The sequence below is a fragment of the Homo sapiens genome, chromosome 1 (genome assembly GCF_000001405.40).
Source record: "Homo sapiens chromosome 1, GRCh38.p14 Primary Assembly".
Taxonomy (NCBI): Eukaryota; Metazoa; Chordata; class Mammalia; order Primates; family Hominidae; genus Homo; species Homo sapiens.
The window spans coordinates 80,713,763-80,740,094 of NC_000001.11; the positions used below are offsets into that span (position 1 = coordinate 80,713,763).

Here is a 26,332-nt window from a genome sequence, read left to right on the forward strand (position 1 = left end):
TTACAGGGATGAGCTGGAGTCTAGAGAACAGGACCCAAAGAAGTGGCTGTGATCACATTTCTTTTGGGGATTCTCTTTTTTTGTTGTTGTTTGACATTTCAGACATAGAATTATATTGCAAGTCCCAAGTTTATATCAATGAATGAGGAGATAAGAATTCACGAATGATGTTGAACAGAAAATGTATGAAAATGGAAATGATAATGTTGTGTTGATATCTTGTCAAAACTGAGCTTTAGTGCTTTGTTGTAAAGGTAGATTACTGGAGAAGTAATGAAATGAAATATTTATTATTCTGCCCAGAGAGAAAGATTTGAAATATTTTAACCCACCAAATTAAGACTTGTTATAGAAGAATAAAGCAATTCAGCCCAAACTATAGTACTGCAACCTCAACATTTGATTAAAACTTAGATCTGTGGTAGATGTAAAGATGATAATAAAGAGGGTAATGGTATATGAAAATATTTAAGCACAGCAATGAGCATAGCGATCCTAGAGAATACAGGAATATACAACAGAAATGAAGATATAATGTTTCTTGCAGCTTAGGAACTTGTCTCTTACATTGTCCATTTTATGTTCACTCAGTGATGGGTGCAGTATAGCAAGCAGCCAAGTTGAAAACAATGTAAACTTACATAGTAATGTGACAGAAGGGTCCATTTAAAAAGGGAAGAAACCTGAATTTGTCACAAACTATATGTCTGTATTTAGAAGAAATTGACACTTACAGAGAAAAATGTGCCACTATCACTTCTCTACCAGTTCAAAATGCAATTCATTTCATTTCATGGACAAGGCAACCAGAGGCTAAACAAAATAGCTTGTATTCATGTCCATGATAACATGTGAAATCTTCCTTAATACTTAATTCAATTCTTAATTTCCAAAATACATTTCTATGAGGAGGCATTAAATATAATTATATATAATCTATATGTACCTACATATTTAATTGCATATGAAATACTAATGTGTTAATTCTTTTGTTAATATTAATTCAAAGTGTAGACAGGACTGAATTCCTTTCTGGAGGTTCTGTGGGAGGATTCCTCTCCTTGTTCATGCAGGTGGTTAGCAGAATTCAGTATTTTTTTTTTTCTAATAGAACTGGGATCCTGTTTTCTTTCTGGCTGTCAGAGGGCTTTTACTGGCTTCTAAAGGCCACCTGCAATCCTTGGCTCATGGTCCAGTTCCTTCAGTGGAGCCAGCAGGTAAGTACCTCTCATATGTCCAATTGCTCTTTCTTTTCTCCCATCTCTCTGATCCACTCTTCTGCTTTCCTGTTTCACTTTTAAGGTCCGATGTGATTATGTTGGACCTGACTGGATAATCCAGAATAATCTTCCTATTTTAAGATCAACTCATTATCAACCTTAATTCTATCTCTAAAATAAATTCTTCATGCATATATGTATGTATATATGTAAGGGTTCGTGTACGTATGACCACTTGGTAAGGATTAAATGAGATGCTATGAGCAAAAATATTGAGTGTATAAAATGAGGATTCCAATCTTTCTTCATTGTACTGAAAAGGGTAACCAAACCTCTTTTGTATTTTTACTAAAGGCACTGAAAAATAGCTCAAGCCACAGCATAAAGTCCAGTGTTTTGACTTTCCATAAAATGTTTTTAATTTGGATGAATTGCTGAAAGTGTAAATGCTATCTCTTTTTCTGAATAACTTTAAACAGCTGGCAGAATGACATTTTGCCCCTTTGGAAATTTTAAATGTAAACTCTGTGTTTAGTATATTGTCGAAATATAATTCAGCATCATTTAAAAGCTTAAAATTCTGTTACTGTGATATTAATTATCTGTCATTTAATTTTTTTGTAATATTGCAGATTGTGTCTTTTTCTTCCTAGAACACAATTTTTAATTCACAAATAAAACAGACTACTAAATATGAGACTTCATGTATAGAAATATTGTCATTTCATTATTAAATCTACTCTAAAAAGGAAATACAGTTAAAGGAATTTTAAAATGCTTTCATTATTTTCCATTTATCTGAGAGTCTTCAATCTTCTTTCCTTAAGAAAGCTAAGCATTTGGATGGAGTAGCTAACTTCAGTCCATATTTAAGTTCAAGTCTGAAACTTATCAGGAAAATTCTTAGCAAAGATTTTTAGTTGTAACATATCAGGCAGACATTTGACATTTTGTAACCAATTTTTAAGCTTTGGGTGTTTTTGGTATTTCTCAAATCTCAATCAGTCTAACAACTCCTCCTTCTTTTTGTGTTCACATTGTTCTTTTTCTTTTCCTCCTCCAATTTCTTGTTGTTTTGTTGGTTTTCTGAGTTTAAGAGCTGTTTCCTGAATAAAGTCTGAAGCTTGACCACATTTTGTGTTATCTAAACATATCACAGAGAATATTTTATATTTGCATTTCTCTATCAAAATGAAAAAATGATGCAGTGACTGTCTTAATTTAATTCATGGTGATACACAATGTATTTGTAAATAAACATTTTTGAAATAATACAAATGAAGACATAATGTCATAGTACAATGGATGTATTCGAATACAATTAAATATGATGTTTAAAAATTGAACAAAGTGAATATTTGCTCATAATTGTGCTGGAAGTATTAAACATTAAATATGATGCTCTCGGGTAATTTGGTGGAAATATTTTTTTCAGATCTTCACAAACCACCTTATTAAGATAAATGATCATGCCAGGTCTTATATTTATGACAGTATAGATATTCCTGATGTAAGACAAACGAAATCCAACTAAAACTTTTTGGATTATTGGCAATAATGTTGTACTCAGTTTTAGGGTTAAAAAATAAAAGTTAAAAAGTTCATAACATTGCTTCAGACTATTATAAAGATTTCTCAAAGAGAAGTTCATACAATTTATTGTTATTTTAAACATTGCTATTTATAAGTTATGATGTAATTAAGCAATTGTAATGAATTAGCTGCAGCATGATCAATTTAACATTTTGATAAACGGTAGTAGAACATTTTGGAATGACATCTATAGAATTACAAATTCAGTGGCATAGAATCATAGAATAGCCTATGGTGTTTTTAAAAGTCCAACCAACATTTTTTAAAAGAAAGCTGAATATTTCACTTTATTTTCCCAAACTTCTGTCATCAGATGCTAGTTACCTTCAGTCATATACTTTTTCATCTTCTACTTTGAATCACTTTTAACTCTCTTAATTTTCCAGGATATAATGTAATTGCAGGATGGTTGGAATAATGTCGTTGACCTTGCTACAGTGGTTATTTTATTTTTCAGGACAGATAAGATACTCTTGTGCTATTACTATAACATAGTTGATTCTAAGTCACTTTTATTTCATATTTCAGTATGTTTGAAATTAGGAGGTATATTACAAGGACTGTAAAGCAGGTGAATGCCATGATGTTGTAGCTGTCATTTTTTTGTGCATGTGCCTCAAAGCTTACAGAACGGGGATTAGTAACTTGGAAGAAAATTCTGGCAATAACACTAGAGCTGTACTTAAGAGAAACACAAAGAATGACATTATGTAGACAAACAAAAATTTTGAACCTCCAAGTTAAAAAGTAAATCAGGAGTGTCAGATTTTGAATGTGAAGAAATTTTAGAAATATTTTAATTTTTGTCTTGTGCCTATGTTTGATATACAGCTTCCACTTGGAAATAACTATAATTCACCGAATTTTATTTTTTATTGTATGTTCTTTTTCTTTCTTAGAGATGCAGTCTCACTCTGTCGGCCAGACTGCAGTGCAGTGGCACCATCTTGGGTCACTGCAACCTCTGCCTCCCAGGTTCAAGTGATTCTCCTGCCTCAGCCTCCCGAGTAGCTGGGACTACAGGTGCGTGCCATCACGCTCGGCTAATTATTTGTATTTTTAGTAGAGACGGGGTTTCACTGTGTTAGCCAGGATGGTCTTAATCTCCTGACCTCATGATCTGCCCACCTTGGCCTCCCAAAGTGCTAGGATTACAGGCGTGAGCCACGGAATCCGGCCAATTCACTGAATTTTAAAGTGTGAAGTGCCTTGGCTTTTTAAGGTTTTATAATTGATCATAATAATTGTACATATTTATGGGGTATATAGTGATGTTGTGATACATACAATGTATAGTGATCAGATCAGGGTTGTTACCATATCTATCATTCAAATACGTATTATTTCTTTGTGTTGGAAACATTCAATATCCTCCTTCTACCTATTTGAAACTATATTATCAACTATAGTCATTCTATATTGCTATAGAAGAATATAATTTATTTTTCCTATCTAGCTGTAATTTTGTATCCCTTAACAAATCTCTCCCCGTCTCCCCTTTTCCCCTATCCTCCCTGGCCTCTCATATCCTCCATTCTACTTTTGACTTCCATGAGATCAACTTTTTTTAGCTTCCACATATGAGTGAGAACATGCATTGTTTAGCTTTCTCTTTCTGGCTTATTTCATTCAACATAATGCCCTCCAGTTCCATCCATGTTGCCATGAATGATATGATTTAATCTTTTGTATGGCTGAATAGTATTCAATTTTGTATTTATGACACAGTTTCTTTCTTTATTCATCTGTTGTTGGACACCTAGGTTGATTCCATATCTTGGCTATTGTGAATAGTGCTTCAATGCACATGAGAGTGCAAATGTCTCTTTGATATACTGATTTCCTTTCCTTTGGATAAATGCCCTGTAATGGGAGTGCTGGATCATATGGTAGTTCTATATGTAGTTTTTTTGAGAAACCCCCATACTCCTCTCCATAGTAACTGTGCTAGTTTATATTCCCACCAACAGGGTGAAAGAGTTCTCTTTTCTCTGCATCTTCACCAGCATTTGTTATGTTTTATATTGTTAACAGGCATTCTAACTGGGGTAACATAATACCTCATTGTGGTTTTGATTTGCATTTCCCTGATAATTAGTAATGGGCATTTTTTTCACTCATTTCTTGGACACTTGTATATATTCTTTTGATATTTGTCGTTTTTTTTTTTTTGTTTTTTTTTGTTTTTTTTTTTTACCCCGAGACAGAGTCTCACTCTGTTGCCAAGGCCGGAGTGCAATGGCATGATCTCAGCTCACTGCAATCTCCTCCTCCCAGGTTCAAGCGATTCTTGTGTCTCAGCCTCCTTAGTAGCTGGGATTACAGGGGTGTGCCACCATACCCGGCTAATTTTTGTATTTTTAGTAGAAATGGGGTTTCACCATGTTGGCCAGGCTGGTCTAGAACCCCTGACCTCAAGTGATTTGCCAGCCTCAGCCTCCCAAAGTGTTGGGATTACACGTGTTAGTCACCACCCCTGGCCTGCCCATTTTTAAAATAAATAGTTTCTCCTTTCCCTTTCCCTTTCATTTCCTTTCCTTTCCTTCTCTCCCTCCCTCCCTCCCTCCCTTCCATTCTTCCTCCTTCCTCCTTCCTTCCTTCTTTATTTTCTGTTGAGATGGTCAAATTTCTTGTATATTCTGCATATTAATCACGTGTTGGATGAATTGTTTGCATATATTTTCTTCCATTCTGTTGGCTTTCTTTTCACTCTTTTGATTATTTCACTTGCTGTGCAGAAGCTTTTAGGTTTGATGTAATCCCATTTGTTTATTTTTGCTTTTGTTGCCTATGCTTTTGAGGTCTTATTCATATAATCTTTTCCCATACCAATGTCTGAAAATGTTTTCCCTGTATTTCCTTCTGGTAGCTTAATAGTCTTGGGTCTTACCTTTAATTCATTTTGAGTTAATTTTTGTGTAGGGTGAGATGTCCAGTTTTTTCCCAGATCATTTATTGAAGAGTCTCTCCTTTCCCCCAATATATGTTCTTGGTGCCTTTGTCAAAAATCAGTTGGCTGTAGATGTATGAATTTATTTCTGCATTCTCTATTCTGTTCCATCGGTGTGCATGACCATTTTTATGCCAGCACTATGATGTTTCTGTTACTAGAGTTTTGTAGTATATGTCAAAGTCTGATAGTGTTATGACCCCAGGTTTGTTTTTTCATTTAAGATTGTTTTGACTATTCAGGGCCTTTTGTGGTAACATACAAATTTTAGAATTTTTTTTTTATTTTTCTATAAAGAATATCATTGTTATTTTGATAAGGATTGCATTGAATCTATAGATTGCTTGGCTAGTGTGGTTATTTTAACAATATTAATTCTTTTGATTAATGAGCATGGGATTTTTTTCATTTATTTGTATCTTCAATTACTTTCATAAGATTTTTTTGGTTTATTTTGTAGCGGTTTTTCACCTCCTTGGTTAAATTTATTTCTAGGTATTTTTTTGTAGCTATTGTAAGTGAGATTGACTTCTTAATTTCTTTTTCAGGTAGTTTGTGGTTTGGGTAGAGGAACACTATTGATTTTTTATGTTAATGTTGTATCCTGCAGCTTTACTGCATTTTGTCTATCAGTTTTGATGGTTTATTGGTGGAGACCTTAGGTTTTTCTATATGTAAGATCATGTCATCAGCAAATAGGAACAATTTGAGCTTTTTGCTTTCCCATTTAAATTCCCTTCATTTTCTTGTTTTGCTTAATTTCTCTAGCTAGGACTTCCAGTACTGTGTTGAATAAGAGTGGTGAGAGTGGGCATCCTTGTCTTCTTTCAGTTCTCAGAACTAAAAGCTTTTCCCAGTTCAGTATATTAGCTGTGACTTTGTCACATATAACCTTTATTGTGTCAAGGTACTTTCCCTCTATACCTAATTTATTGACAGTTTGTATCATAAAGGGATATTAAATTTTATCAAATGCTTTCTTCTCTATCTATTGAGAAGATCATATGGTTTTTGTTCTTCATTCTGTGATGTGATGTATTATGTTTATTGATTTGTGTGGGTTAAGTCATACTTGTGTTTCTGACATATATCCCACTTGATCACAGTGTACTAACTTTTGATGTGCTGTTGGATTCAGTATGTTAGTATCTTATTAAGGATTTTTGCATCTATGTTAATCAGGGATATTGGCCTACAGTTTCCTTGTGTGTGTTTTCTTTGTCTGGATTTGCTATCAGGATAATACTGGCCTCATAAAATAAGTTATAAAAATACCTTCACCTTCAATGTTTTGGAATAGTTTAAGAAAAAATGGCATTAATTTTTCTTTTAAGGTTCAGTAGAATTCAGTGGTGAAGCCATCTGCTTCTGGACATTTAATTGTTGAGAAACTTATATTGCTGATTCAATCTCATTACTTGTTATTATTCTGTTGACGTTTTCTATTTCTTTTTGTTCATTCTTGGTAAGTGATATGTTTTCAGGAATTTACTCATTTCCTCTAAGTTGTCAAATTTGTTTCCTTATAGCTGTTCATAGCAGTCTCGAATGATCCTTTGTAATCCTGGGGTATCCATTATGATGACTCCTTTTCTGTTTCCCATTTTATTTATTGGAACCTTCTCTCTTATTCTTAGTGACAGTTTGTTGATTTTGTCTATTTTTTATTCATCTTCTTGTTTTGTTAATCTTTAATATATGTTTTTGTCTCAATTACATTTCTTTCTGCTCTGATCTTTATGATTTCATTCTATTAATTTTGGGATTGGCTTTTCCTTGCTCTTCTAGTTCGTTAAGATGCATTGTTATGTTGCTCATTTGAAATCTTTCTAGATTTTTGATGTAGGCACATATTGCTATAAAATTCCCTCTTAATACTGCTTATGCAATAACCCATAGGTTTTGGTATTTTGTGTTTCTACTTGTTTCAAGGAATTTTTTGAACTTCAATTTCTTTTACCAGTTGGTCATTCAGGAGCATGTTGTTTAACTTCCATGCATTCGTATAGTTTCAAACGTTTCTTTTGTTACTAATTTTTTGTTTAATTCCATTATTTTTGAGATGTGTTTTGCCCATCTCTCTCATAACCTGGGAAGTTCACAGCAATTTAATTAAATATTTTTCTACAATTTTCTCCCTTCTCTTCTTCTGGAATGCTCATAATGTGAACATTTATTTATTTAATAATATCCCACAAATTCTTTAGGTTTTCTTTATTAATTTTTATTATTCTCTTATTCTTTTTTACTTTTTAAATTGTTTGTCAGCTTGTGTTATTTCAAATGATCTTTCCTGAAGTTCAGGAATTCTTTTTTCTGCTTGGTCTATGTTATGAAACTATTTTTTTTTTTATTTCATTCATTGAATTCTTCAGCTGTTAGATATTACAAAAAAAGAACCAAACAGAAATCCTATTTCTTTGTTGAATTTTTCATTCAAATCATGAATTATATTACTGATTTCATTCAATTATCTATCTGTATTCTCTTCTACCTAACTGAATTTCATTAAGATTATTATTTTAAATTCTTTTTCTGGCATTTTGTATATTTTCTCATTATTGATGTCTGTTGCTGGATAATAATTGTGTTCCTTTGGAGTTGTCACATTTCCTTGCTTTTTCAGGTTTGATGTGTCCTTACACTGATTTCTAAACATCTGGTGTAACAGTCATCTCTTCTAGTTTTATGAAGTAGGTTTCGTAGGGAAATACATTTCTAAGAATGGCTCTTGGAGTGCCAGTTTGCTGGGGTGCATTGGCTTTGGTTATAAGTGGATGAAGTAGTATCGTCTCTATGTCATTTCTTCAGCTGTCATCTATGCTAGTGATGTTTGCAAGTATCTCAAAGACATAGGCTATAGTGGCCATGGTGTGGCTTTGCTGTGGGTAGGTTCATCAGGCGGTTTTTCAGGTCAGAGGCATGTACCTGCCCCAGGTCGACCGACTTGGGGCTGCTATTAGGGCTATAGGTCTGTTCCTCTGGCTAAGATCACATACACATGGTTGCTTGAATGGTCTGGGGCATACCTGCCAGGGACAGCCCACGGGGATGTTTCTCAGACCCAGGACATGGGCACATAGCTGCTTACCCGGCCTGGGAGTGTGTCTGCTGGGGTGGCCCATATGGATGTTTCTCAGGAGCAGGAGGTGGGTGCAGTACTACTCAGTTGGCCTGGAGGCTGACAAGCCAGGGGCAGCTCTAGGGCTGTTTCTTGGGCCCAGCAGACACACAGCTGCTTGACTGGCTGTGGGCTTGCCTTCCAGGGGCAGCTTGTGGAGCTGTTTCTCACTCCAAGGTTGTGGGTGCACAGATGCTTGGTTGGCCTGGGGTGGTCAGCCAAGGGGGCCTGCACAGCTGTTTCTCAAGCCCTAAAGCAGGTACAGGGCCACTGGGCAGGCCAGGGGCTTATCTGTAGTGGGATGGGTACCATGGGGCTGTTTCTTAGGCCCTGGGTAAAAGTACGTTGCCACTCCACCAGCTGAGGACCATGTCAGCTGCTCAGATACTTGAGGGCCTCCACCACATAGAGGAGAGTATGAAGTGGTTTGGTTGCTAAGGGCAGTTTCACAATGGGCAGGACTACCAGACTGTTCCTCTGGCTGGAAGTAAGGGGAATAGTAGTTGGTTTCCCTACTATGCACAACTCAAAGTCACAGCTGATCCTGGGCCCAAGCTCTGCAGTGCTGAGGTTGTGGCATTCGACTACCAATGTGGGCTTGGCATAATGAAGATGGTGCCCCAGTGCTGGGAAGGTGCAGTGGCTCCTGCCCCCACCCCAAGGAGGGCACACTTTTTTCTCCCAACAGGAAGTAACTCATGATGCCAGGCAAATTCAATCCATGTGGGGAAGATGGTACTGCAGAGGCTGCATGTCCTCCTGAACTTCCAGTCACCAGAGGTGCCTCTCCACTCCCCAAATACATTCTAACAATCCCCCTTTGATACTGCAGATAAATCTTTCCTGTTTATTCATTACCTTGGTCCTTTCTTGTTGGGGGATAGATGTCAGGTGTCTCTAGGTGTCATTTTGCTGACATTTTCCTTTATCGGTATGCATAGTTTTGACACGATTAAAATGTCAACATAAGACTTGATGATCTTGATTTCAAAATATATTATTTTGTTATATGTTATATATATGGCATAAAAATTAAATGTTATAATTATATATGTTATAAGAAATGTTATGATTTAATTGACAACGATTTTAAAATAGTACATAAAATAAATTTTGACTCAATGGTTATAACAGTTTGGTCAGAAAATTTAAGGGAAGGTCCACACTGTTCCTCATTTATGAAAGTTTTGTGAAGTGACATTTATCTATTCAAAAATTGAATATCCCATATAGAGTTAGCAAATACATTGTTTTGCTTTATTTCTCCTGTAGTCTTCTTACTCCCTAACAAGGAGTAAATTTAAAACTTTAGGTAACTATTTACAAGGCAATTTACGAATGCTTTTGACATTGAAATTGAACTACAAGGTTATTTTAAAACTACCCTCTCTGTAAGAATAAATTAGACTACAGAGAGGAAAAGGTTAATGAGACAAATGTAAGATGCATTTAAACTTCGATTTCACTTGTCAGTTCATTTGTTCCATCTCATCAGACCTGCTGGTATGACAATTTTGAAATTCTCATTTTGATGGAGAAAAAGTTACAAAGGAGTAATAACAAATTTCTTTACACAGAAATAAAACATATTTTCCTGATGTCATGATATTCAAGAATTCAGTGAAAATGTGCAGAAATTACAAAGAGAAATAAAATGCATATCTTTTTGTAGTGACCCATATATAAATCACATATCTCAAACTGGTCTAACATAAAATCAGTTTTCGTGTTTTCATTGTATTTCAAATTAAAGAAAAAACAAACAGCTACCCTAGTTTTCAATTGTGTAATGTAAAGTAGCAACAGAAATTCTCTGGAATAAAAAAAAAAAAAAGAAAGAAAAGAAAAATCTGGAGGAATAAATAGCAACCAACATCCAAACCCAAAAAGCAGCAGATAAACTGGCATTTCAATTATCCATGTATTACACATCTTTTTTCTTCATTGTACATCACCAATAGCTGTGAGGCTGGAGTACTCCTAAGTTTGGTTTTGACAGTAGCTCATCAACTCTTCCAGTGTAAAAATATGCTTATTTGCTGAAGTTTCACTGTTGTTTTTATTTGTTTAAAAGAAATGTTATGTATGCATTATGAAGTACCTGCAGGTGTAATTTCCTTATGTGGTTGCAGAGGTTGCCAAAACGGAAGACAATGAACAACTCATTATCTATTGGAGTAGGTGAAAAATTGATAAGCTTTCAATCAACATGTCTCACTATATTTCTTGCAACAGTATGCTTACTTCCAAGCAGAGTATAGGAAAAAATCTTCAGAACACGGTAACCTTAGAACAAATCCAATTTACCACATTAGCTGAAAGAGACACCAGGACTACAATATCCAGAAAGGAAGTACTTAAAATTACTTGAGGCATATACATATGACTTACAGTTTCATAGCTGATTATAGGCAGTGACACCTACACCATATTTACTTGTATACATACAGCACATTACCATATGCTGCTCTGGATACCTGGAGAAGGCAGAGTAAGAGAGAAGCTTCTGGTTTTAGTTAATATGGATAATAGTAACAGTTACATTAATTTTCAATTTCAGTAAACTTAATCCAGGATTCAGACACTCAAGAAATACTTTTTTTTTTTTTTTTTTTTTGAGACGGAGTCTTGCTCTGTTGCCCAGGCTGGAGTGCAGTGGCGCCATCTCAGCTCACTGCAAGCTCCGCCCCCCGAGTTCACGCCATTCTACTGCCTCAGCCTCCCGAGTAGCGGGGACTACAGGCACCCGCCACCACGCCTGGCTAATTTTTTTGTATTTTTAGTAGCGACGGGGTTTCACCGTGTTAGCCAAGATAGTCTTGATCTCTTGACCTCATGATCCGCCCGCCTCGGCCTCCCAAAGTGCTGGGATTACAGGCGTGAGCCACCATGCCCAGCCAATAAATCCTTTTTAAATGTATTATACATGCTAAGTTTTAAGATATACATTTATTTTAGAAATATGTTCTATTTTCAGTTTTTTTCAATATTCTACTACTTTATGAGTACTTCTTAAATTAGATCATCATAGAGCATTTTTAAGAAGAAAAAAAGAACTCCCCTAGAAACAATGTCCTTCTCTTAATTTTTTAGGATAAATTTATATATGCAAATTTGACTCATAACATAATTTTGAATCAAAATAGCTCATTATATCTGCTGTCCAAAATGTATGTAGTGAATTACTAGAGTTACAGTCATAGCTTAGAATGGGAACAGATCAGATCAGGGGTTTAATAGAATTAAGGACAGCTCAGTCAATGTCTTTAAAGTATTTATGAGAATTTCTCTTGAGCCCTTAATTGTTCAATTTTAAACTGCCTTCAGCATTTAGCTAGGGCATTTACAACTGGGAGTATGCCTTGGAAAACAGTTTTGCTCCAGGCTTAGAAGTAGCTAGGAATAGTCACAGCAGCGAAATCTGTGTTGGAACTGTATGGGCATTTCTAGGATACCATTGCTTATAGCCATTGTCTCATTTTTTTTTCTGTTTACCTTCAACTGATGAATATTAAAAAATTATCCATTGCATCAAAAGCTTTGCATTAGAACTTAAAACTATTTATAAACAAAACATATAACTCAAGAAGTTTTCAAAATCTTTTATTGTACAGCTGTCCTTGCACTTACTAGCACCATCCCAATATCCTGAGGCCTACCTTGGTAAATCACCTTCCAATATCTCCCAATGTCATGCTGTGCCCTTTTCCTTCTGTTCTCTTATTGACACTTTAACAAGTATTCTTGAGAACCTACTAAATGCCAGGTATTGTGTGTATAGCTTATAATACAAATATAAATAAAACAAGATCATCAGTCTTGGGGAAGAGAGAACTTCATAGGCTGGTGGTTACGATATATTATATTTAGAACAATGACCTTGATATATACAAAAATAAAATGAAAGTACAAAAGAAGAGTAGCAAGAATGACTTGAACAGTCAGGGAAGGTTTCTTTGAAAAGGCTACATGTGAACTTACTCTGATGGATGATTTTCCAAGGCAAAAGAAGAAAGAAAATTTCAGATATTATATAAATAGGCACAGAGAATACATAGCATGTCTGTAGAATGCTAGACACTTTCAAAAGTGGAAATAGGAGGTGGTGGAATGCCAAATGAAACTCCTGACCCCACTTTCCTGCCTCTGACTGCTACGCTGTCAAGGCTTTCCATTGGTTATTTCCAATTAGTACCAAAGGTTATGGGAGCCCTGTCCACACAGGCAAGGCTCCTAGGGTCAACAGGCAGTGAGGAGGGATGCAAAACCAATGTTAATAGCAATAGGGTTCTGTTAACTATTGAATGGAAATGGTGAAAATGGAAGACAAATGACAGTCTACCTCTTTGTCCTTCAGCTCCTATTCTTGTCTTTCTTCCCCATGTTCCCCAAAGAAGGAATGAACAAAATACCCTCAGCTTTCCTATCAGGTTGGCATATCATGGTATCAATTCAGTCACACTCGTACTTCAAACCTAAAATGTTAGCTAATGTTTTTGTTCCTTTTTTTTTTAAAGATATCAAGAAAAAATGAGGAGAAAATTGATAACATATATTTATTTTTTTTACTTCTTGTCTCTGTAGCTGACCATAGGCAAGCCTCAGTAGGAATCATACCTGTCTTTGTCCTCCAATTCTATGTCCCTTTTACTCTCTACCAGTATCCCAAATGGATGGATTTATTTACTGGTGGGATTATGCAATTTTTAATTCTCACAAAATCTAAGTGCTTTGTGATCTTGCCTTTATTTTTATTTTTTTTCCATTGACCTAATTGTTACACAATGAAGTACTAAAACTTCAGTAAACCCAGTAACCCCCTTCAATTCTGTGTTTTTCTTGCTTACATTCTATAGAAGCAACTCATTTTCACTATGTAATTGAGCTCAACCAGGCTAACAATATAATGAACTCTTTCTCTCCCTGTTCAGCAGCTTGCAGCATCAAAAATGATTATGGAGAAGTCTCAGCTTCCAATTTAATCAAACAAGTACTGTGTTCTACCACGAACACTAAAACCTCTAAGTGCATATAGTATAAGATTATGAGATGGAAGCAAAAACTCCTTGTCTTAGTTTGCTTGGGCTGTCATAAAAATAAATACCAAGACTGGGTGGCTTCAACAACAGAAATTTATTTTCTCACAGTTATGAAAGCTGGATGTCTAAGATCAGGATACCAGCATTGTTGGGTTCTGGTGAGGACTCTCTTTCTGGCTTGCACAAAGCTGACCTCTTGCTTTGTGCTCACATGGCCTTTCCTCAGTGTGTGTGTGTGTGTGTGTGTGTGTGTGTGTGTGTGGTGTAAACAGAGAGCGATATCTTTCTCTTTGTCTTCCTACAAAACCACCAATCATATCAAATTAGAACCCCACCCTATGCACTCACTTAACATTAATTACCTCCTAAAACCCTATCTCCAAATACAGTCACATTAGGGGTTAGGGCTTCAAAATATGAATTTTGGGGGGACACAAGTCATAGTGCCCCTTAATATAGTTATTGTATATAATAGTGAGATAGAGACTGCTTTACCTCTGCTCATTAATTCCTAAATTCATGAATTATGAGGAAGGAGACACCATATCTTGGTCCTTGATTTCATGCATATGTAGGAAAGCTCCATAGTATTTCAGGGCATTATCTCTCAAGTGGTACCTTAACTGAGCCTTCAGCAGGCCATTCCAATGTTCTATCTAGCTACATGCTACTGAAGGTAAAGCATATTTAACGTGAAAGTATATATTTTTTATGAGGACAAATTGCTCTCTCCTTCATTATGGAAAGATTAACACTTCCATCTGATGGCTGCGTGGTCAGCCAGGAAACCAGTTCTATTTCAGAGGCTCAATATTGGTCTGTGCTGTTGGCAGATTGGGCAATAAGCGGTGGTGGTATTCCAACCAGCCATTTTAAGAAGTCTATATGGTTGAACTAAATGCATAGCCACCATCTTTACCAATTTGTAAATGTGCCTATTGAGCAAGCAAGGGGCTAGGGAATGAAAGGAGAAAACTGGCTGGTGGCCGGGCGCGGTGGCTCACGCCTGTAGTCCCAGCACTTTGGGAGGCCGAGGCGGGCGGATCACGAGGTCAGGAGATCGAGACCATCCCGGCTAAAACGGTGAAACCCCGTCTCTACTAAAAATACAAAAAATTAGCCGGGCGTAGTGGCGGGCGCCTGTAGTCCCAGCTACTAGGGAGGCTGAGGCAGGAGAATGGTGTGAACCCGGGAGGCGGAGCTTGCAGTGAGCCGAGATCGCGCCACTGCACTCCAGCCTGGGCGACAGAGCGAGACTCCGTCTCAAAAAAAAAAAAAAAAAAAAAAAAAAAAAAAAAAAAACTGGCTGGCATCCAGAGGAAGGGCTGTGACATCAAACGAATTACTGAAAAGTTCCCCTGCAATAGACATTTCATGAGACTATTTTCATGGGAATATCTTCACATTCTGTTGATTCAGAAAGGTTCATTCACATTTTCATAATTTCAACCTCCTTGTTACAATTCTTCTAGTCCTGTTCTTTTTAGGCAATCTGTCTTAGTCTGTTTGATATGCTATAATAAAATACTATGGACTGTATAGCTTTTAAACAACAGAAAATTATTTTATACAGTCCAGAGGCTAAGAGGTCCAATCTGCACTAACAGATTTGTTGTCAAGTGAGGGCCTGTTCCTCCTAAATGGCACCTTCTAGCTGTGTTCTCACATAGTGGAAGGGTCAAGACAGCTGCCTGAGGCCTCTTTTACAAGGGCACTAATGCCATTCATGAGGGCTCTGCCCTCATTATCTAATCACCTCCTGTCTTAGTTCATTTTGTGCTGCTCTAACAGAATACCTGAAACTGGGTAATTTACAAGGAATAGAAATTTATTTCTCACAGTTCTGGAGGCCAGAAAGTTGATGATCAATATGCCAGCATCTGGTGCCTGATGAGGGCCTTCTTGTTGCATCTTCACATGATGGATGATAGAGGGGTGAGCAGCAAGCTAGTCAAACATTGAATGAAGTCTTTTCCTTAATCCCATTAATGAGGGAGAAGCCCTCATTAATTAGTATGGCCTAATCGCCTCTTAAAAGCCCTACCTCTTACCATCACATTGGCAACACCTGAATTTTGGAGGAGAAATATTCAAAACATAGCACCTCTCGAAGGTCCCACCTCCTAATGCCATCAGATTGGCGATTAGGTTTTCAACATAGAAAAAATTATTCGTTCACCACTGGCTTCTTCCTTCGCTTCCCTTCCCTCCCCTTCTTTTCCTTTACTCCTAAATAAAGATGTAGGAATACAGAACACATTCCAGGGAAGTCTGAGCCATCTGGTTATAAAACTATACTTTACAGACATGCTTGACACAGCATGAAATGCTGTCATGCACATTCACTTTTTTGATTCTTTACATTAAATAGCCTCCTTTTTAATGGGAAGTTCAAGTCACATAGTAACGTGATGCCCCATGTTCAAGTGTTCAGACTCAATCAGGTAGAATAAATCTAAAGTCTACTTTTGAAATGGAGAATTGTTGTTGCCATAAGAGAATCCCCCGTGGGAATCTGTCAGAAGATCCATTCAGTATTTTAATCTGCTACAGATATGTTCTATTTTATTTGGTTTGCTGAGTATGAGGTCCAAGTGGAGGGCTAACTTGTATGGCAGGTTTAGAGTAGTACAGACCTTTTATTTCTTTGTGTCCAATTTAAAACTGTCTTTTAGGTTACATAGCAAAATATTTGAAGCTGCATACTTAGATGTGATGTGTATTATCTCCAACATTCAGAGTTTCTTCAAGTATGTGTCACTTGTTTTGTGGGCTGTAAATGGCTCCACAACTTATCTCTTATTTTTCAGGGGCTCTTTTAACATGGCCAAAAGCACTGTGTTCCCAGAAATCGCACTGATTTGGCAGGTGGTGTTTGGAGTTAATTTCCCAGCATCTACCAATCATGTGTTTAAGTCGATTAGAACTTTTTTCTGTGTCCTGCCTGGCATATCCTGCTAGCATAATATCATCAAAATAATAAAGCCAAATGTGATATTTCATATAATCACAAAAATATCAAGATTTTGCTTGTCTATTATGACATTAGGCAGGAAATCAGAAAAAAAATCCTCATGTAAGATAGTAAAAATGTACTTTTGCCCTTGCTATAAAAAATAAAATAGCTTCTAATTATGTTTACTAATAGAAATTAAAGAGAAAAATGCTCTATCAAAAGCTGCAGAGCAAGATAGCTGAATAGAACTCTCCAGGAATTTCCCCCCACGCACACAAAGGAACACCAAATTGAACAACTATCCACACAAAAATACTTTCATAGAACCAAAAATTAGGTTGAGCAATCACAGTAGCTGGTTTTAATCTTATATCAAAGAAAGAGGCATCGAAGAAGGTAGAGAAGGCAGTCTTAAATTGCCTATGCCACCCCTCCTCCATCCACTAGCTGCAGCCATGTGTATTGAGAGAGGATCTCAGTGGATAAGGTAGGAAGAGCAAAGTGATTGTGGGACTTTGCATTGGAACTCAGTGGTGCTCTGTCATAGTGAAAAGCAAAACAGGCCAGAATTCCACTGACATCCATTTGGTAGGAGCATTTAAACGAGACTCTGCCAGAGGAGAATCGTCCATACCAAAATTGGGACCTGAGATCTGCAAAGCCTTGTTACCAAGGGCTAAAGTGCTCTGAGGTCCTAAAGGAACTTGAAAGGCAGGGTAGTCCACAAGGCCTGCAATTTCTTGGCAAACCCAGGTGCTGTGCTGGGCTCAGAGCCAGTGGACTTGGCATGCACATGACCCAGTGAAACATGAGCTAGGGCATACAAAGGAGTGCTTAGCTCCTGGTTAACATTTATAGACTCACCATGGGCTAGAAGGGAACCCATTGCCCTAAAGAGAAAGACTCAATTCTTGCAGAATTCATCATCTGCTGACTAAAGAACACTTGGGTCTTGAAAAAGCATCAGCAGTAGCCAGAAAATAGTCACCATAGACTTTGGGCAAGACCAAGTACTGTGCTGGATTCAGGTGTGACCCAGCACAGTTCCAGTGGTGGTGGCCGCAGGAGTGCTTGCATCACCCCTTCTCTAACTCCAGGCAGCTCAGCACAGAGACATGCTGTTTGCTTGGGGAAAAGTAAAGTGTGAGAACAAGAGTCCCTGCCTCTTAATCCAAGGAATTTTCCCTGATCTTACCCAAAACCACCAAGGCAATGCCTCTATGAGTCTGCTAGAGTCATAGTGTTACTGAGATTGAAGTGCCTCCTAATGCACATACGGCTGCTGTGACCAAATACTTAGGTCACAATACTCAATTTCGTTGGACAGGTACAAACAAGCCCAGACTGTGAAGATTAGAATACCTAACTCTTTGATACCCAGACACTGACTAACATCCAAGAGCATCAAGACCACCCAGGAAAACATTACCTCAACCAAATGAACTAAATAAGGCAAGAGTGACCAATTACAGAGTGACAGATATAACTGAACTTTCACATAGAAATTTCAAAATAGCTGTTTGAAGCAAGTTCAATAAAATCCAAGATAACACAGAGAGGGAATTCAGAATCCTGTCAGAGAAATATAACAAAGACATTCAAATAACTTAAAAGAATCAGGGAGAAATTTTGGAGGTAAAAAATTCAACTGACAAACTAAGAATGCATCAGAGTCTTTTAACAGCAGAATTGATCAACAAGAAAAAAGAATTAGTGAGCCTGAAGAAGGCTACTTGAAAATACACAGTCAGAAGAGACAAAAGCAAAAAGAACAAAAAACAATGAAGCATACTTACAGATCTAGAAAATACCCTCAATTCTAAGAGTTATTGGCCTTAAAGAGGAAGTAGAGAATGAGAAAGAGGTAGAAAGTTTATTCAAAGGGATAACAGAGAAATTCCCACACTTAGAGCAAGATACCAGTATCCAAGTGTAAGAAGGTCCTAGAACATCAAGCAGATTAAACCCATAGAACACATCCTCAAAGCATTCAATAATCAAACTCCTAAGGGTCAAGGATAAAGAAAGGATCTTAAGAACAGCAACAGAAAAAACAAAACAAAACAAACAAACCAACAAAAAAACGCAAACATACACTGAAGCTCCAATACATCTGGCAGCAGACTTCTCAGTGGAAACCTTGCAGGTCAGGAGAGAATGGGATGATATCAAGTGCTCAAAGAAAAAAAGCTCTCCTCAGCAAATGTAAAAGAACAGAAATTATAACAAACTGTCTCTCAGACCACAGTGCAATCAAACTAGAACTCAGGATTAAGAAACACTCAAAACTGCTCAACTACATGGAAACTGAACAACCTGCTCCTGAATGACTACTGGGTACGTAACGAAATGAAGGCAGAAATAAAGATGTTCTTTGAAACCAACGAGAACAAAGACACACCATACCAGAATCTCTGGGACACATTCAAAGCAGTGTGTAGAGGGAAATTTATAGCACTAAATGCCCACAACAGAAAGCAAGAAAGATCCAAAATTGACACTCTAACATCACAATTAAAAGAACTAGAAAAGCAAGAGCAAACACATTCAAAAGCTAGCAGAAGGCAAGAAATAACTAAAATCAGAGCAGAACTGAAGGAAATAGAGACACAAAAAACCCTTCAAAAAATTAATGAATCCAGGAGCTGGTTTTTTGAAAGGATCAACAAAATTGATAGACTGCTAGCAAGACTAATAAAGAAAAAAAGAGAGAAGAATCAAATAGACGCAATAAAAAAAATGATAAAGGGGATATCACCACCGATCCCACAGAAATACAAACTACCATCAGAGAATACTACAAACACCTCTACACAAATAAACTAGAAAATCTACAACAAATGGATAAATTCCTCGACACATACACCCTCCCAACACTGAACCAGGAAGAAGTTGAATCTCTGAATAGACCAATAACAGGCTCTGAAATTGTGGCAATAATCAATAGCTTACCAACCAAAAAGAGTCCAGGACCAGATGGATTCACAGCCGAATTCTACCAGAGGTACAAGGAGGAACTGGTGCCATTCCTTCTGAAACTATTCCAATCAATAGAAAAAGAGGGAATCCTCCCTAACTCATTTTATGAGGCCAGCATCATCCTCATACCAAAGCCTGGCAGAGACACAACCAAAAAAGAGAATTTTAGACCAATATCCTTTATGAATATTGATGCAAAAATCCTCAAGAAAATACTGGCAAACGGAATCCAGCAGCACATCAAAAAGTTTATCCACCATGATCAAGTGGGCCTCATCCCTGGGATGCAAGGCTGGTTCAATATATGCAAATCAATAAATGTAATCCAGCCTATAAACAGAACCAAAGACAAAAACCACATGATTATCTCAATAGATGCAGAAAAGGCTCTGACAAAATTCAACAACCCTTCATGCTAAAAACTCTCAATAATTAGGTATCGATGGGACGTAACTCAAAATAATAAGAGCTATCTATGACAAACCCACAGCCAATTTCATACTGAATGGGCAAAAACTGGAAGCATTCCCTTTGAAAACTGGCACAACACAGGGATGCCCTCTCTCACCACTCCTATTCAACATAGTGTTGGAAGTTCTGGCCAGGGCAATTAGGCAGGAGAAGGAAATAAAGGGTATTCAATTAGGAAAAGAGGAAGTCAAATTGTCCCTGTTTGCAGATGACATGATTGTATATCTAGAAAACCCCATTGTCTCAGCCCAAAATCTCCTTACGCTGATAAGCAACTTCAGCAAAGTCTCAGGATACAAAATCAATGTACAAAAATCACAAGCATTCTTATACACCAATAACAGACAAACAGAGAGCCAAATCATGAGTGAACTCCCATTCACAATTGCTTCAAAGAGAATAAGATACTTAGGAATCCAACTTACAAGGGACGTGAAGGACCTCTTCAAGGAGAACTACAAACCACTGCTCAAGGAAATAAAAGAGGATACAAACAAATGGAAGAACATTCCATGCTCATGGGTAGGAAGAATCAATATTGTGAAAATGGCCATACTGTCCAAGGTAATTTATAGAGTCAATGCCATCCCCATCAAGCTACCAATGACTTTCTTCACAGAATTGGAAAAAACTACTTTAAAGTTCATATGGAACCAAAAAAGAGCCCACATCGCCAAGTCAATCCTAAGCCAAAAGAACAAAGCTGGAGGCATCACACTACCTGACTTCAAACTATACTACAAGGCTACAGTAACCAAAACAGCATGGTACTGGTACCAAAACAGAGATATAGACCAATGGAACAGACCAGAGCCCTCAGAAATAACGCCGCATATCTACAACTATCTGATCTTTGACAAACCTGAGGAAAACAAGCAATGGAGAAAGGATTCCCTCTTTAATAAATGGTGCTGGGAAAACTGGCTAGCCATATGTAGAAAGCTGAAACTGGATCCCTTCCTTACACCTTCTACAAAAATTAATTCAAGATGGATTAAAGACTTCAACGTTAGACCTAAAACCATAAAAACCCTAGAAGAAAACCTAGGCATTACCATTCAGGACATAGGCATGGGCAAGGACTTCATGTCTAAAACACCAAAAGCAATGGCAACAAAAGCCAAAATTGACAAATGGGATCTAATTAAACTAAAGAGCTTCTGCACAGCAAAAGAAACTACCATCAGAGTGAACAGGCAACCCACAAAATGGGAGAACATTTTTGCAACCTACTCATCTGACAAAGGGCTAATATCCAGAATCTACAATGAACTCAAACAAATCTACAAGAAAAAAACAAACAACCCCATCAAAAACTGGGTGAAGGACATGAACAGACACTTCTCAAAAGAAGACATTTATGCAGCCAATAAACACATGAAAAAATGCTCACCATCACTGGCCATCAGAGAAATGCAAATCAAAACCACAATGAGATACCATCTCACACCAGTTAGAATGGCAATCATTAAAAAGTCCGGAAACAACAGGTGCTGGAGAGGATGTGGAGAAATAGGAACACTTTTACACTGTTGGTGGGACTGTAAACTAGTTCAACCATTGTGGATGTCAGTGTGGCGATTCCTCAGGGATCTAGAACTAGAAATACCATTTGACCCAGCCATCCCATTACTGGATATATACCCAAAGGACTATAAATCATGCTGCTATAAAGACACATGCACACGTATGTTTATTGTGGCATTATTCACAATAGCAAAGACTTGGAACCAACCCAAATGTCCAACAATGATAGACTGGATTAAGAAAATGTGGCACATATACACCATGGGATACTATGCAACCATAAAAAACGATGAGTTCATGTCCTTTCTAGGGACATGGATGAAATTGGAAATCATCATTCTCAGTAAACTATCGCAAGAACAAAAAACCAAACACCACATATTCTCACTCATAGGTGGAAATTGAACAATGAGAACACATGGCCACAGGAAGGGGAACATCACACTCTGGGGACTGTTGTGGGGTGGGGGGAGGGGGAAGGGATAGCATTAGGAGATATACCTAATGCTAAATGACAAGTTAATGGGTGCAGCACAGCAACATGGCACATGTATACATATGTAACTAACCTGCACATTGTGCACATGTACCCTAAAACTTAAAGTATAATAATAATAAAATTAAAAAAAAAGAAAAATACTTTTACCCTAGAGTATTACATCCAGCACAAATATCCTTCAAACACGAAAGATAAATACTTTCCCAGGCAAACAAAAGCTGAGGAATATTGTCACCACCATAACTGTCCTACAAGAAATGCTAAAGGGAATTCTTAAATCTGAAAGAAAAAGAACTTAAGAAGCAATAAAAAAAATCATTTGAATGTACAAAACTCACTGGTAATAGTAAATACACAGACAAAATACAGAATAGTATAACACAGTAATTGTGGTGTGTAAACTACTCATAACTTGCGTAGAAAGATTAAAATATGAATCTATCAGAACTAATAACTATAAAACTTTCTAAGACATAAACAACATATAATAACATAAATAGATATAATTTTAATTTTCTTGAATTTTTTAAGTCTTGTTTTGTGGTCTAACATATGGTCTGCCCTTGAGAATGATCCATGTGCTGAGAAGAAGAATGGTATTTTTCAGCCATTGCATGAAATGCTTTGTAAATATTTAATAGGTTCATTTGTTCTATAGTTCACATTAAGTCTAAAGTTTCTGTGTTGATTTTCTGTCTGGGTGTTTCTTTGTTGATTTTCTGTCTGGGTGATCTGTCTAATACTGAAAGTGGGGTGTTGACATCTCCAGTTATTGTATTAGGGTCTATATATCTCAATAGCTCTAATATTTGTTTTACACATCTGGATGCTCCAGTGTTGGATATATATGTATTTAAAATTGTTGTATCCTCTTGCTGACTTGACACTATTATTATTATTATTAAGATAGGGTGTCACTCTGTCACCCAGGCTGGAGTGCAGTGGTATGATCTCAGCTCACTGCAGCCCTGACCTCTCAGCCTTAAGCAATCCTCCCACCTCTGCCTCCTGAGTAGCTGAAACTACAGGTGTGTGCCACCACACCCTGCTAACTTTTGCATTTTTAGTATAGATGGAGTTTTGCTATGTTGCCCAGGCTGATCTTTAACTCCTGGGCTCAACTGATTTACCTGCCTTGGCCTCCCAAAGTGCTAGAAATACAGGTGTGAGCCTTGACACCTGGCCAGTTTTAAGCATCTTGAGATTGAGATGCTTATGGGACATCCATTCAGTAGTGTCCATTAAACGAGATTTTTTTTCAGAAATGACATTCTTTATATCTTTTTATATTTTTTGTCTTAAAATCGACTTTGTCTGACATAAGTATAGCTACTCCTGTTCTTTTTTGGCTTCCATTTACATGAAATTATATCAAGTATCTTCTCTGAGCATAATGGAATAAAACTCGAGATCAATAACAAGAGAAAATTTGGAAACTATATGAAAATTAATCAATGTGCTCATGAATGACCAGTAGGTAAATGAAGAAACTAGGAAAATTGAAAATTTTCTTGAAACAAACAATAATAAAAACACAACATACCAAAACCCATGGAATACAGTGAAAACAGTACTAAGAGTAAAGTTTATAGCAGTAAGCACTTACATAAAAAAAAAAAAACAGAAAAAACCTTCAAATAAACAACCCAGTAATACATGCTAAGGAACTAGAAAAGCAAGAGCAAACCAAATCCAAAATTTGTTAAATAAATAATAAAGGGTAGAGCAGAAATAAATGAAATTGAAATTTTAAAAATACAAAGATCAATAAAATGAAAAGGTGGTTTCTGAAAAGATAAACAAAACCAACAACTCTTTAGCCAGGTTAACTAAGTAAGAAAGAGAACTCAAATAAATAAAATAAAAGATGAAAAAGGAGGCATTACAACTGTTACTGCAGAAATTTAAAGGATCATTAGAGGCTACTATTAGCAACTATATGCCAATAAATTGGAAAATCTAGAAGAAATGAATTCCTAGATACATACAACCTACCAATATTGAACCATGAAGAAATTTAAAAATGAACAGACTAATAACAAGTAACTAGATCAAAACATAATAAAGTCTCCCAGCAAACAAAAGTCTGGGAATCTGTGCCTTCACTACTGTATTCTACCTAATATTTAAAGAAGAATTAATACCAATCCTACTCAAATAATTTCTAAAAATAGAGGAGAGAGGAACACTTCCAAACCCATTTTATGAGGCCAATATTACCCTGATCCCCAAACTGGACAAAGATACAACAAAAAAGAAAACTATCTCTGATAAATATTGATACACAAATCCTCAAGAAAATAATAGCAAACCGAACTCAACAACTCATTAAAAACATTTCCACCAAGCGGGATTCACTGCAGGGATGCAAGGATGGTTTGACCTATGCAAATCAGTCAATGTGATACATCATATCAACAGAATTAGAGGCAAAAACCATATGATCATGTCAATTGATGCTAAAAAAAATTTGATAAAATCCAATATGCATTCATGGTAAAAACCCTAAAAAATTGGTATAGAAGAAATATGTAACACAATAAAACACTCATAGCTTTTAAACTGTGAATAGGGAAAAAGTGACAGCCTTTCATCTAAGATCAGAAACAAAATCTTACTTGGAAAATAATGCTCACTCTGAAAGTGAGCATCTGCACTTTTTTTGAAAGTAAGAATGCTTGCATTTGTCACTGCTATTTAACATAGTACTGGAAGTTCTAGCTAGAACAATCAGACAAAAAAAAAGAAATAAAAGACATGCAAATTAAACACAAGTCAAATTACCCTTGTTTGCAGATAATATTATCTTATATTTGGAAAAACCTAAAGACTCCACAAGAAAACTGTTAGAACTGATAAATTCAGAAAAGGTGCAGGGTACAAAATCAACAACAAAAATCAGTAGCATTTCCATTTATTTGCCAACAGCAAACAACCTGAAAAAGAAATCAAGAGACTAATGTCATTTACAATAGCTACAAATAAAATAAAATACCTAGGAATAAACTTAATCAAAGAAGTGAAAAATCTCTGAAATAGAAACTATAAAACACTAATATAAAAAATTGAAGTGGACACCAAAAAAGGTATTCCATGTTCATGGATTGGGCAAATTAATATTGTTAAAATGGCCATACTACCCAAAGCAATCTTCAGGTCCAATGTAATCCCCTTCAAAACACCAATGACATTCTTCACTGAAATGGAAAAAGAGAATCCTAAAATTTATATGGAATCACAAAAACCCCAGAATACTCAAAGCCATCCTGAACAAAAAGAACAAAACTGAAGGAATAACATTACCTAACTTTAGGTACTATACTATACCTATAGAGCTATAGTAATCAAAACAGCAAGGTACTGGCATAAAATCATACATATGGAACAATGGAATAGATTGAAGTATCTTGAAATAATTTCATACATCTACAGTATATTAGTCTGTTCTCATACTGCTAATAAAGACATATCTGAGACTGACTAATTTATAAGGGAAAGAGGTTTAATGGACTTATAGTTCCACATGGCTGGGAGGCCTCACAATCATGGCCGAAGGTGAAGGAAGAACAAGGAAAGTCTTACATAGCATCAGGCAAGAGAGTGTATGCAGGGGAACTCCCCTTTATAAAACCATCAGAACTTGTGAGACTTATTCACTATCATGAGAACAACATGGGAAAAACTCGCCCCCACAATTCAATTACCTCCCACTGGGTCCCTCTCATGACACATGGGAATTATGGGAGCTACAATTCAAGATGAGATTTGGGTGGGAACACAGCCAAACCATATCATACAATGATCTCATTTTCAACAAAGGTGTCAAGAATATATATTGGAGGAAAAAACACTCTCTTCAATAAATTGTACTGAGAAAACTAGATATTCATATGCAGAAGAAAGAGACTATAACATTGGTTTTCGCAAATATTTCTTGAGTAATACCCCAAAAGCATAGGCAACCAAAACAAAAAAAA

At 36.5% G+C, this 26,332-nt stretch overlaps 1 annotated feature.

Moving 5' to 3' along the window:
• Window positions 9,114–9,721: an enhancer, noted in NCBI's record as "H3K27ac-H3K4me1 hESC enhancer chr1:81188561-81189168 (GRCh37/hg19 assembly coordinates)". NCBI's record gives its function as "activates a minimal SCP1, AML or CMV promoter by ChIP-STARR-seq in primed H9 embryonic stem cells {active_cell/tissue: H9 hESC(primed)}" and the evidence as "EXISTENCE:reporter gene assay evidence [ECO:0000049][PMID:30033119]".